The 14,871-nt window shown below is 46.0% G+C and overlaps 1 protein-coding gene across 5 annotated transcripts in view, besides 1 other annotated feature; it reads right to left on the bottom strand.

The window, feature by feature from the left end:
- Positions 1-14,871, bottom strand: part of ADD2 (adducin 2) — a 111,417-nt gene that overhangs the window by 64,036 nt on the left and 32,510 nt on the right. The gene's annotated exons all lie outside the window — the stretch shown is intronic.
- Positions 12,538-12,832: a silencer, noted in NCBI's record as "tiled region #8528; K562 Repressive non-DNase unmatched - State 23:Low". NCBI's record gives its function as "represses a minimal TATA promoter and a strong SV40 promoter by Sharpr-MPRA in K562 cells {active_cell/tissue: K562}" and the evidence as "EXISTENCE:reporter gene assay evidence [ECO:0000049][PMID:27701403]".

Consider the following 14,871-nt stretch of genomic DNA (forward strand, 5'->3'; position numbering starts at 1 on the left):
CAGAAAGTAAGCAGAAATGATGGCATCCCCTGCAGCCAAGGCAATTAAGAGTGGAGGTGCCTTCTCCACTCCCTTTCTCCTCCCTTGCCTCCCTGCTGGAGGCAGAGGATTCAGTGGAAACTCCCAGGCTCTAGGAAATGACGCAGCCACCAAATGGAAGAAAGTGGGAAGTCACTGCAAGCAGCCCACTGAGCATCTATTTGATTGGAGATTCTGAGGCTGTTGTTATGGCAGGTCACCAACCCTGAAAAACATATTCCCACCCTTTAGGTCAGAATAGTCTTATTCTAGTGTCTCCTGCAGGACCATCAGTTATCTATATGTTGGATCTCTGCTCTCTAAATCTACTGTTATCTTCTCACTGATTCTGTTGTTGACATTTTCCTTACATTCTCACAGTTTGTCAGTATTTCCCACTTCACTGATTTTGATTCAGCAAAATTCACATGGATTTTAATGCTGATATTAAACATTTTATCACTTTGCATACTATCCTTACTTTATATCCATTTTCACCTCAGATCTTTCATCTTAGTCTATTCTCCCCCCATGACTCTATGTCTTAGAAGCCATGTCTTTTTGAACCATGTATACTAAGGATACCAGCTTTCTGACATTCTTCTGGTTCCTACAGCAGGTTATTATCAGAGCTAAATGCTCCTTTTGAGTCCTACAGATCATTTATCTTCCCCTGAAGTGTATTTTCTCAAGATATTTCTAATTGTTTTCCTTTATTCTCAAATAAGGTGAAATCAAGTCCCCTAAGATACAACCTTCAGGGAAAATAGCTTCCGGCAAAATGTGTTGAGAAAGCCACGTGTTTTCTGGAAATCAAGTGTGGTGCACACATAATTAATAGTGACTTTTAATGTCTCCAGGCAATTTCTGTACTAACATGAACAAAGAAATTACCTTAATGATTAGTCCAATTAAAATTAGAGATACAAAAGGACAAGTATCAAGGAAACCAGCCCAATCCCACATGCAGATTATAAAATGGGTACTCCATTTATAGAAAACTTAAAATTCAATCAAACTCATTTCTGGATGGTGGAGTGATTGGCGACTAACATCAGACTTAAGGAAATAAATACTTAGGCGAGCCCACAAATCTTAAAATATGACCCCCTGCTTTGCAATTTCCTGCAATGCCATAAAACTATTAATAAGATAGAGGAAGGAGGGAATGAAAAATAAACATCATGATAACAATTTGATAACAGGGTTAGCAGATCCTGGAGACCCAGGCCAGCCTCACTTCTAGGACATCTCCTGCTTAAAGGAATGGCATGGGAGGTGAGTCACACCAATGAGCATAAAGAACACCTTTCTTTGTTGTAGGTCTCAGAAGTGAAGGCTGAGAGATCCAAGCCCAGGTGTTGATTTGATAGAGGGGTAAAAATAAAACGAGCATTGGCATGACTGTATTCTTCAATTCTAAGATATCTCTGATTGATTGGCACACCAATTATTTTAAATATTACTGAGAAAGAAAAAAAAAACATTGCTAACTATCATTATAAGTCATCATTGATTGGCGGACACATCCCAACTTCAAAGATGTTGAAATGCTGGGGAAATGTGTGTCTTAGAATCAATGAAGTAAGGAACTCAACTTAGAAGTTGATGTCACCATTTTGGGACTGCCTTTTACATGGTGGGTGGCAGATCATCTACTGGGTCAGGGAGCTGAAGGATGAGACAAGAGAAATAGGCCATGAGGGCCTTGGGAGAGCCCCTTGACACCTGGATTCAGGGCTTATCAGTAGACCAGATTTGTTGGCTGTCAATCCATGCTTCTGCCCAGTACAGTGTCCTGAGAGCTACAACAAGGCAGACTGATGTGCATAGCCCCCAAACAGGTTTTCACTCAGTGTATATCTCAGTACCTCTGCTGAGGAAGCAACTTCCTGTACTGTGAAATAAGAGCTTAATGTCATAAGGCAAGACCAGACTAAGATGAGAGGCAACAAGATGAGATAAAAATGGAAATTGACCCACCACCTATATTTCTGATTAGGCTCAGACCATGAAAACCACAAGGGCTTTTGTTCTCCAGGGGGACATAGTACAGAGTAGGTGCTCGATCAATGCTAGTTCCCATCCCCTATATTCTCTCTACAAGAACACTCCCAAATCTGCCATTTGATTCTGCCCTATGTTTTCCCAAAGTTGGGAGTAGGAGAGAAAATTAAAAACTATGGTGGGGAGGAGGTAATTAACTTCATAGAGGCCCCAAACTATTTCTCTACATGAAGGACCCAGGGAATTGGTTCCACCATACAGGACCATGGCTACAAATCCAGGCTCTGAATGGCATTAAGGGCCTAGGAATGAATCCCAGCTCTGCCTCTTTCTAATTATGTGACCTTGAACAAGTTGCTTAATTTTTCTAAACCTCAGGTTCTTTGTCCAATGTGGAGAAGAACAGTCCCTCCTCAGAGCATTATCTAAGATAATATATGAAAGCACAGGCTTTGCACAGGGCCCAACAAATAGTAAGGACTCCACAAATGTTAGGTGCTACTATTAAATCATTCCTCATATGGATTCTTAACATTACAACAATTGAATTTTTTTTTTTTTTATCACAGTCTGGATTCTATCTAGTCAGCAAGCACACATCTGGGCTGACTGCTCCATCAAATGTTCTCAAGGGAACATCAACGAATCTGAAACTGAGCTGAATAAAATCAGGCAGGTTATGTCTGCTGCTCAATTTCTGCACTACAAGACATAGGTAGATTTTTAGCTGATACGCACTTTAAATGGTGGGCTCCACTTTTCCGTCTGAGCAGGTAATCTGCAGCCCCCAGTGCTGGTTACAACACTGCTTGCATGCCTGGTGAGAATGTCTGGACTGGGTTACAGGTTTTTTCAGCTAATTCCCTGACCCCCTTGACCCAGCCAGTAATTATAGGCACAAAATGCTGTGCCCAGCCGTCTCCTGACACACTTGCACCGCAGGAGGATCTTCTTTGAGCTTGGAACTCAAAGAATGGGGTCAGATTTTTGGCCTGGAGAAAAAAAATGGCAAAGGGCTACAAACTAAGGCCAAAAACCATGAACGGTATAAGGAGGGTAAATGCAAGGGGAGACCCCACCTCTCACCACTTAGAAAAGGGCATTTCAAGCACATTCAATGAGGCTTCATATACTGGTTAGCAAACAAATGGAATGTATTAGCCCAAGGCAGGGTATGGACCAAAAGTGCCCAGTGATGAGGCCACAGTGAATATCCACCTAACGACCTTCTTGGATGATGTACACATGACATAGGCCTTAAAAGCTGTCTTGTGGAAACATGTACCTTCATCGTGTTAAATGAAAAAGGTGTTGGGGTGGACTCAATATACATACTTTCAAGTGCCTTCTCTGTCCAGACACTGTGCCAGCACTGTTCTGCCATGAGCCTGTCATTCCAGGACCCACCCCGTGCTGTGGAGCGAGGGCCTTAGCAGCTCTGTGGCCTTGGTGAGCCCCTCCACCACTGCGTGCTCATTTCTAAATGGTGACCATTGCAGTACCTCTGTCATAAGAAATGTTCCTCCTGCATTTCTGGGTAGCCTCTTCATGAGGGATTCAGAACTTGGCTCAGCTGCCAGCTTCCTAATGAAGCAGTGCACCTGCCCAGGGCAGGTATGTCTCTGCCCCCGCCCACCCTCACACTGCTCCCCGACACACACTATGCACGTGGGTTTCCCGGAGCTCAGGCCAGGTTGCATGGCTCCCTGGGCTGCTCCCCCAAGCTCCCCACAAGGAGGCCTGCTGCCATCACTCTTGTGGCTCTAGGCCCCCCTGCCAGGCTCTCTGCTTTTGCTTTGGATTCTCCTTGACTTGGGCCCCCTCTCAAGGCTGCAGGACTTGGGGTTGCTGCTGGCCACGGCTGTGCTTGTGCTCCTCTGACGCAGAGGCGAGGCACTGTACTAGGTGCCAGCCACTCAGTGGTGAGGGAGATGTGCTCTACATCCTACACATGCCAACAGCTGGGGGACCCCAAACTTTACACAGTATTGGGTGTGGACAGGACAGATGCCCACACTGTATCAAGATATTTTTGATACACCCAAGCCTCTTTGCACCCAAGCCTCTCCAGAAAGTGGAACAAAGGCCCCTGATGCCATCTCTCTCCTCTACTGCCTCTTCTTTCTGTCAGGAAGATAACCTTTTAAACCCTTCATAATTTCAGAAGCATTATCCCATAAGGGTGAAGAACAAAGACTGTGCAGTCTGCCTAGTTTATATCCTGGGTGTACTTTTACAAGCTGCGAGGGTTACCGAACCACCCTGTACCTCAGTTTCCTCATCTGTAAAGCAGAGTGGTAATTATGGTAGCCACCCCAAGGGGCTGTTGCAATTAAATGGGTTCATCCATGTAAAACACTTAGGATAATGCCTGTCATAGAAGAAGCATTCAATAATGCTGGTCTTATTTGACAGTTTACAGTCAGTGTGGGTAAATCAGAAAACTAGGCTGGACTAGCTGAAGAAGTTGAGCGCAAGTGAGGACCTGGGAAGAATGCTGTCTGGGAATGTTCCAAGGGAATCTGTATTGGGTTGAATATTCCTCCCCAACCCCCTGCCAAAAATATATATATATATATGTGTGTATGTCCTAACTCCCAGAGCCTGTGAATGTGATCTTATTTAGAAAATGGATCTTCACAGATGTAATAAAGTTAAGCATCTCAAGATGAAATAATCCTGGATCATCCAGGTAAGCCCTAAATCCCTTCACAAGTGTCCTTATAAGACACAGACACACAGGAGATGGCCCTGTGAAGATGGAGGCAGAGATTGGAGTGAGGCAGCCACAAGCCAAGGAACACCAGGAGCCATCAGAAGCTGGGAGACGCACGGAAGCATTCTCCCCTAGAACTTCTGGATGGAGCACAGCCCTACCGACACCATGAGTTTGGACTTCTGGCCTCCAAAACTGTCATGGTGCTTCTCCAACCACAATGTACATACAAACCACCTGAGGATTTTGCTAACCTGCAGATTCTGATTCAGCAGGTCTGGGGTGAGGGCTGAGAGTATGCATGTCTCAAAGGCCCCCAATGATGCCAGTGTTGCTGGTCCACAAACCATACTTTGAGTAGCAAAGTTTAAGAATGTATTGTCTTGGGAGGCCAAGGCGGGCGGATCACGAGGTCAGGAGATCGAGACCATCCCGGCTAAAACGGTGAAACCCCGTCTCTACTAAAAATACAAAAAATTAGCCGGGCGTAGTGGCAGGCGCCTGTAGTCCCAGCTACTTGGGAGGCTGAGGCAGGAGAATGGCATGAACCCAGGAGGCGGAGCTTGCAGTGAGCCAAGATCCCGCCACGGCACTCCAGCCTGGGCGACAGAGCGAGACTCCATCTCAAAAAAAAAAAAAAAAAAAAAAAAAAGAATGTATTGTCATCAGCAGCACCATGATGACAAAGGAAACCACTGGAAACAAAGGGGCAGAGGTTGTAGATCCAGTCAGCCACAATGCTGGGCCACTGTGACAGCATATGAGAGCCCAGCTTTCAGCTGTGGGATAAAGAGTGGAAGGAAGCCATTGACCTTTAGTGGCACTTGTCCCTGGGATCAATCAATGCTTCTGAATTGAATAGCAGCTCACCCAGGCAGTGCTAATGAGTTTTGACTGCTCCAGTTCATCACTCCCTAACAGGGTCAACCAAGAAGTAGTCTCATCCTTTTTGCTAGGGGTGAGAAAAAGGTTTTATGATCCCTGCCTTATGGAGGGCCCAGAACAATTCCTGGGAGAATGGAAATGTTGGTGACAGAATCCCAGGTTCCTAACTTCAATGAACTTGATGGAAATGTATAAATCAGGACTTTTGTGTTAATGCTTTTATGGGCGAAAAACACTTGATCCAAAAAGACAAGAGTTCACCTCTAATGTAGCCCGTGCTCTTCTGAGAAGCTCATTTTGGTAGACAAGAGAGGAGAGGCCCCTGGCATGCATGCCCCAGGTTTGGGGAGGTAGCTTTACCCACTAAAACAGCCTATGTCAAGAACGTTTTTAAAAAGCTGGTCTACGAAATCCAACACAGGAATTGGTAGGAGATACAGAGAGCCCTTAGCCTACATTCTCACTGGATTCTCCCACTGCTGTCTCTCCAGTCCCCAACCCCACAATGCACACAGGGTTATATTTCAAAATGCTCCAGAAAAACCATCCATGACTTCTTGTGGGCCACAGCCAAATGGTCACAAAGCTTTTATACCATGTTCAGGCTTTGATCGATCAGTAGTGGCTACCTAGAAGGGCTTGAGTCCTTCTTCACGCTCCGTGGGAAGAATGCTAGGATTGATTTCCAGTGTCTGCCATAGACTCGGAGCAGGAAGACTGGCACTGTGCCATTTCTTTCAGGACAACAGGATAAAGTTATCTTGTGGCTTTCAAGCTCCTCGAGCTACCATTAAATCATCTCCCACTCTTACATGAAACGCTTACTCCAGACAAAGCCCATACCAGCCCCAACACTCCCCAACATGTGACCCTGCCTCTGTGGCTGGGGTCCAGCAGAACTTTCCCCTTCCTCATCCATCCTTCCATTCCCCAACGCCTAATTGCCTCTCCCTCTCCCTCTCCCTCTCCTGGGCTCCAGTGCCTCCCATTCACCACTAAACTGCCTTCTTTTCCTGCTATACTCATCTCTGTAGATGAGTCAGGACAAAAATGACTCCTGTATGAGTATTTCCGGATTTTCCACTCCCTCAGACCCTTTTCTTCCCTGAACTCCCAGAAAAGCCTGCCTTGACTCACTGGCTCCTTGGGTCTTTAGAATGCAGAATTGGCCAGGCGCGGTGGCTCATGCCTATAATCCCCGCACTTTAGGAGGCTGAGGTGGGCAGATCACTTGCAGTCAGGAGTTCAAGACTAGCCTGGCCAACATGGTGAAACCCTGTCTCTACTAAAATATACAAAAGTTAGCTGGGCGTGGTGATGCATGCCTGTAATCCCAGCTACTTGGGAGGCTGAAGCAGGAGAATTGCTTGAACCCAGGAGGCTGAGGTTGCAGTGAGCTGAGATCGTGCCACTGCACTCCAGCCTGGGCGACAGAGGGAGACTCTGTCAATAAATAAATAAATAAATAAATAAATAAATAAATAAATAAAATGCAGAATTGCCAGGGAAGAGAGACAGGATAAGAACAGGAGGATGGGACCTTCAAGGACGTCCGTGGATTTGTAGGGGCCTTTTGTTGAGAGAGGAGAAGCTTTGCGAGGTTCAAGGGCAACGGCAAGGCAGAGAAAAGTGGATTTAGAAGAAACACTGCTGTGCTCCGCATTCTCCCCATGTCATATTCAAGAAATACAAGTAAATGTTTGGAGTCACTACAAGGAGCTTCTGCTGGTCACTCTTGTCCGTCCCTGAGGCCACTGCAGTGCTCTCTGTCTGGACCTCATAGGCCACGGCCTATATGTGCTCTCTTTCCCATTGCCTTAAAAGGCCATTTCCAGTACCTGTCTGCCAGGATCTGGGCCGGGCTCCAGTGTGACAGAGTCGGGAAGGCCCTTAGCATATACCCAACCCCCTCGCTTTATAGATAAAGAGCCTGAAGCCCACAGCGGGGGTCAGTCTGCACCTCAAATTTCACAACAGCTGAGATGCCTGTGTGAGGAGTCAGTCCTGGGCTGATGTCAGAGTGTGCCTGCCAATACCACTTGCCCTCCTTCGAGAAGAGGTGCACTAGGTGAATGGATACCAAATCAATCCAGTTTGACAGGTATTGATTGAAGACACTCTCTGAAAAAGGTGCTGTGTGTGAAAATACATTAAATGCTCTAGAAAAACATGCTATGGACATTGCCCTTTTGCGAGTTATTTTATGATGGGATATATACTTTTTGCACAGACAGTAACCATCCCCGCTCATGGGAGAAGCCCTTTGACGTCTGTACCTTTGGGTCTGGCCTCATCTGTCCCTTTCCACCCACAAGCATAAGCCCTATTCTATCTCCTCTTTCTCATCCTCCTCCTACCCACACACAGACACCTTCCTTGAGGGCTTGCCTTGTCTTCCTCCCACATAGGCAAGTCCAGTGCAGAAAAGGCACCTTGGTAATGTTTGTTTTTGGTGGTGCGGGAGTAGGGAAGCCTCACTGAAGACCACTAGGGCCTGTCGGCATGGTTTTCCACCGGCAAACTCTCAAAGATACGCTGAGCTTCCAGCTCTCATTGAATGTCAGAGTTACAGGGACTTCGAAGGCAGCCTGGCCTGGGCCTTCACTGGCCTAACCATTCCTCAGCCTTTCCTGCTGACCCCTGCAGGCTCCCATGGCAGCTGGCTCCATGCTGGGTTGGGGGCAATTAGAGGCACTGCCTGAAGATGGGAGGAGATGCCAGGGCACTCCTTCCCTCATGCACTGTCTCAAGAAATACCTCCTCCGTGGCCCCAGCTTCTGCCAGAGGCCCACCATGCACCATGTTCCTTCCAGTTTCTGCAAGGTGACCTTGACCCCTGGGCTGGAATAACACTACCTCCTTCCTCCCTCTGCCTCAGGGTAGGTCTCTGAGCCACTTCCCCAAGCCTTGTTTGTTGGTTGGTTGGTTTTCAGCTCCTTCATTACCTGCGTAAATTTTCTGCATTAAATTCCCTCGGTTGGAACACTTGAAGAAATTTCTATTTACCTTGTTAGGCCCTGACTGAAACATAGCCCAACCTCTTCCCCACCCCTTCATTGAACTTATGAAGAAACCAAGGCCAAGAGTGGTGTGCTTTGTCCAAAAAAGACTCACGGGTACTTAGTTGTCAGTGACTGGCCTGGGTTTCTCAGTTTCTGTCCTCCACACCTCTGCAAAATATGGCAGGACATGCTTCATTTTTAGTTTTAATCCAAAAGAATCCAGAGTCATTGGGATCAACAGTTTTGAAATGTGTGGCTTCTAAGGAAAAACCACAGTTGCAGTTCCAGTCCTTTACACTTTCTAAATACCCCCTTGGACCATCAGAAACTATTTAAACCTTGTTTCTGAGAGATGGAGATGTCAACTAGAGTAGACCAGACTGTGACCACAACCAGGTCACTGCCTGCTTCCAGGCTTGCATTTCCAGCCTGCATTTCCATATTTAAGGAAATTAACATAATACGAAATGACCATTTCTAAAAGCATTTAAAACTTTCTTTTAATATATGTAGCAAAATTCAAGTCCACACATTTTTGGACCAGATGGTTTCTCAACTCTGCAAAGTAGGTTTAAAGTAATAGTTACTTAAGAGTGCCATATATTTTAAACACACAGTGCTTCTGCTAATTAACACTTCATGATTTCTCAAGAGTCCCACAGGCAATAGTTACCATTTGTAAATGGTGAAATATAGTGTCAAGAAAATGAATCCTATTTTGCTCCCAAATTGCAGCCCTGGGATGCTATACATGAGATATCTCAGCCCTTCCCCCAGTGTGAATGGAGTGGTGAGAAGATGAAAGTGACTGCTCTGGGGTTGGATGCTGGGGACATGTGAGCATGATACCACATCGGGCCTCTGCACACAGAGGTTCTTCAAAAGGCAGACCCCCTCCACCCGTCATGGGCCTATGGGCCAAAATTAGTCACACAGATGCATGCAAGTTAAACACTGACCTAACAAGAAGACATGGACACACAGGCACACATTTACACACACCTGTTATGTCCTGTGTTTGCAGGACAAAATAGCCACAGTCTATGTGAGCCTGAGAGGCAAGGCAAGCTAACCTACAGGCATGAAGTGAGGCTGGCCTCTCTGCCCCAAATCTTACCAGGCCACTTACACATCCTCCCCTACTCCTCTTTGCCTGAAGTTCAATCATTTGAAGATTGATTTGACTAATATGTCTCCTCTTTTTAAAAGTCAGTGCTCCTGGAAGAGTTGATCAGATACAGTCACATGCTGCATGATTTGGTCAATGACAGACCACATATGTGATGGTGGTCCCATATGATTATAATACTATATTTTTACCGTACTTTTTCTATGTCTAGATACACAAATACTTACCATTGTGTTGTAATTGCCTACAGTATTCAGTATGGTCACATGCTGCAAGGTTTGCAGCCTAGGAGCAATAGGCTATACCATATTGCCTAGGTGTGTAACAGGCTAGGTTTGTGTAAGTACACTCTCTGATTTTCCCACAATGATGAAATCACCAAACAATGCATTTCTCAGAACACAGCCTTGTCATTAAGCAACATGTGATTAAATTTTTAATCCTTCATACATCAATGCGGCCAAATGAGACAGCTTTCTTCCTGGTGCTTTGCAGACATCAGGGGCTGACAGGTTGGAGAACCCAAAGAATATGGAGTGCTTAGGGGAATATATCAGGAGGATGCAGGCTGCCTTGCTTTATTGTAATGGGGAGCCCTGGACACCTGGGCAAGTGGGGAAAAGGGGTACTTAGAAACTGATGGGACACCAAAGAGAAAAGGAGGAAGAAATGTCTGCTTACCCAGGGTCTACACAGGACTACCCTGCCTGGACAGGATGCCACTGTCCACACCTACTACTGTCTCAGGATTGCTTCCTCTTTAGGGTAAAGGAGATGTGAGCAGAAGGCTGACACTAAAGTATGGGACAAAGGAAATGGCAAAGACCATGTGCGATTAGGAGAAAGTTCATTGGGGGACACTTCTTTATTGAAATCCTAAAAATAGCAAAGAACTAGACTGTGCTTTCACCTGTCACTAGACTGGAAGTTTTAAGCAGACAAAGCCTTGTCTGACTTTGTGCATCACCATATCCCCAGCACCCAGAATAGCGTTAAGAGGTGTGCTCAGCAGGAATTGGTTCGGTGCATGTACACACCAAAGTGCAAGCAGAGGACACCTCAAGACCCTTCTAATCCCCTCATTTCCTCAAGGCCCAATGATCATGTGTGGCTGCACAGATCTCTTGCTGGAGTTATAAATGGGCTGCTGGAGAAAAGACAAATCCCTCTACGGACCCCACAGCGATGGACTGCTGAGTTCTGCTGTTCCCCAGGGACACTGCCTTCATTAGGCAGCACCTGCTATATGGCCAGCCCATATGTGTCATGTCAGGCAGTCCCACAAGAGGAGGTAGACAATGCACCAACCAACCTTAAGTTTCCCTTAACCAAACCTTCCAATGAGTGGCAGGCTCTGCACCAGAAGACAACAAATGGAAATTCTTTGGGGTGCCTTCCACCTTTCATTTTTGAAGCACCACAAGCAAAATGAAACCACTGATATTCTGTGGGACCTGATGCCCCAAGGTAATGTTTATGGTCATATTTTCAATCTTCCCCTCCCTTCTCATTGAGTTGAGAGGATGAAGTGGCACAGGCAGCAGGGGAGAACCCAGGCATGATTCTGAAGGAAGGCAGGACAAAGTGAGTGGGCTGGAACCAAAGCATGAAGTTGTACGAAAATATATAGTATGAAGCCTTTAGGTCTTCACAGTTTGCAGAACCATTTTGTCCACCAAAAACAGCTCTGGATGTAGCCAGCAACACTCCTTCCTAAAGCTCGTCTACACAGATCCAGATGCATGCACCTTGCTGAATGCTGAGCTTACAGTAAGTCCACAACTAATTCCTGTCCAATTGAGAAACATTTGAATGCAATGATATCTGGATCAATTGAGATCACATATATATGAAGTAGAAAGTTTCTCCTAATTCCTGGGTATGCACTTGACCCCTGCCCTATACAGAGAAGGCAAGGCACTAAGCTGGCATTCTAGGCACTGCATCATGAGGGAAAAGCACTGGACAGACTACGAGACCAGGGTCTGGTCCCGGATCTCCCTGAGCCATCCTCAGATGGCTTTCAGGGATGTCAGAGGTGAGCATGGAGAAGAGGATCCTGTCTGTCTAGAGCCAGAGCAGTAAGGTCCCCGGGGGCTGGGAGGTTGTTGCCTCTACATAAAGAACTCGGCCAGCTAAAGTCTCCTCTGAACCAAGCCCACTGTTTGCCTGGAGAAGTCAGTGTCTTTCCTTTGGGGAGATGAAGGAAACAAAGGAACTGTTTGGAGGGCTTTAGAATGCCACAGCTCACCACTGGTTATTTGGGGGAGGAGGATGTGCAGGAGCTAAATTTGAGCCCCAGTGTTGCGAACTTCACAAGGGGAAAGAGTTGCTGAAATGCCTGGGGGAAACAGTGTAGGGTTCTGGCCTCCATCTGTCTGTTCATACATCTGTCTGATCTGCCTTCCCCTGCTAATTAATTCCCATCTCATCACAGCCACTCTTGGCTCATGAGTCTCTCTCACAGTTTCCCATCTAGGTTATTTAGCATTCAAGGATTACATGCTACAAAAATTAGCCACGTTTGAACAAATTAGCTACTTTTATAAGCCCAGGGTCCAAGGGCCATTTCTATTAGATTTGGCATAGGCTACAATTTTGCAGAATCTTTTCCCTGAGTTTTTCTGGTGGCAGATGTTGCCTCTTGCAGAGAGATGTAAAATCACTGCTGGCTCGTCTTCTCCCCAGTGATCCCTCGGCTGCTTTTTAAGGAGGCTTTAATAATGCAAAGGAAGGGAAGGCGGTGCATGCATAAAACACCATGCCACTATCAGGATGTGCTGCCTTGAAATCAGGCCTGGTGGTTAAAGCAAATGAACCAGTTTTTAGAGGAAGTTTTCTGGTTTGCACTGAGCATGAAGGTTTGGATTGCAGAGGCTTTTCTGAAGATGCCATCAGACAAGTGCAGGTTTGAGCCAACATCAGCTTATCAAGCGCTGAGTTTAATTTCCTCCCAGCAGCCAGGCCACACAAATCATTGCCTGTTGAGGAAGGAAGGAAGGAATGCTTTTGATGTAGCCATTGAAAGTGGTAAGAGTGAATGCAGATTTGGCTGAGTACCTGTTGGCTAACAAAACATGTTATCAAAAAGGTGTTCTGGGTATGGTAAAATGTATCAAGGATCAGAGGCAATGAGGCAGAAGGGAACGGAAGATTCTATATCTGGATTCCCAATTTACAGATTACATAACTGATGTCACTGTGCCACCTGGGAGGGTTTTAATATTGTTAATAATACAGTAAGAGCTGGCGAATTTTCAGAAATGGCTTGCTGTACTGATAAAGAAAGGATTGCCTTTCTTGTCCCCAAGTCCCAGTGCTTTCCACAGACACACAAAAGCCCACCCCTAGCAGCAGATGAGCAGACTTCATCTCTGTTGTCAAGGAAACCAGTCCGTTCTTAGCTCTAGAATTAGAAAGCCTGGGTCTGGCCTCAGCAGTGCCTTCCGCCCACTTCTCCTGCCGGGACCTGCTATCTCCACCCCCCTCTCCCCGGGGACACTGAAGACCCTTTCTCTAGCAAAATTTCTAGCACATCACTGGAGTTGGGGGCTCTATTAATGGCTCAAACCAACCATCGGGTGGGTGCACAGGCCAGATGAACAGACACATGGGGGAAAAATGAGTTTATCTACATAGAAAAGGAAAGGACAATTGGCATGGATCTAGGACAATGGCCAAGTGATTGACCCATCTTATATGAATGGCTTAGGGAAGCAGGATTGGCCACTCAGTGCTGGCCCAGCACTTTCTCCCTCTAAAACATCTACCCCCACCCCTCACCCCCTCAAAGCACACACACATGTTGCTCTAGATGACAAAGGTAGCCCACTGGCATCACCAATGGACCAGACCTGGCACTCTGGCCTGCCCCAGGGAAGCCTCTTGGGGTAAAAGGCCTTGGTAAAATGCTCCCAGGTCAGGGCACTTAGGGGAGTTAGGGGTAGCACATTGGTCTGGAAGGAGGGAAGAGAAGACCCCAATGTCACTACTTCTGAGGAAGGGAGAACTGAAATGGAAGAAAGACAGAGGAGTGAGCCAGCCACTGGCAGGAGAGGAGAAAGGATGACCAGTATCTTTGGGGATATGCTCTGTGGAAGAGGGTGGGCATGAAATTAAAGGGAGCTTGGACATGACACCCATTCAGGACAGTCTTATCCAAAAAACAACCATGTGCTTAATTCTCTGAATTCCCCAAGCCGACCACCTCTGTACCCTTTCTGAATTTACCACCATCTAGCTTGCATTGCACCTATTTGAGTAAGTGTGTTATCTGTCTTTCTAAACCAAGAGCCCTGAGAGATCAAGTTCTGGCCCATCTTTCTATTTCCCATAGCCCTGGAAGAACTTGTGTGTACTAGGGGCTAGTGAGGATTTGTCTTCATGAGTGAATCCTTATTTTAGACACTGTGAAATCACCTACAGAAAGTGTTCAGAATTTTGAAATAATTATGAGGAAAAAAAATGTTAAACTGTTATCTCGAAAATTTCAAACAGTATTAGTTCGATTTTCACTTTTCCTAGTGCTTTTTCCAACTGTCACAGTTATTATAATTGCTTTATTATTATTATTAATGATGATGGTGATTGTTTTTTTGTCAGCACAGGAAGGTACAGTGAGACACCCAAACAGAGAAAAGAAGGGGAAAAAAAAGAGTGCCCTCTGAATGAAACCCTGTGAACACACAGGATGTTTGCAGGCAGAGATTTGCATAATGATTAAGTGAAAAGAAAATGACTCCTCAGCTACTTGGACTAGATGTTAATCTGACAGTATTAGCACATCAAAACTCCATCACATGGGGGGCACAGTTCGCACAACCCAAATTTAAAGTATCTCAAGTTTTTTTTGCTAGAATTTCTCAAACACTCCAGGGGAGCTTTTAAAAATTTCCCTTTTGCTGCACCCACATACACAGCTACCTCCATGCCTTTTTCCTCAAACCTCGACCTCCACACCCCTAAAATTTCCTCTGCCCCAGCCTGCTTGCTCTGCCTGCTTTCCCTCCTCCCTCTTTCCTAACAAACTCAGTGTCATTGTGCAAATGTAAAACCTCATTCCACATATTCTTCCTTGATCCCCACACCCATGTTCACCTCTCCTTCCAAGCCCA

The sequence above is a fragment of the Homo sapiens genome, chromosome 2, assembly GCF_000001405.40.
Source record: "Homo sapiens chromosome 2, GRCh38.p14 Primary Assembly".
Lineage (NCBI taxonomy): Eukaryota > Metazoa > Chordata > Mammalia > Primates > Hominidae > Homo > Homo sapiens.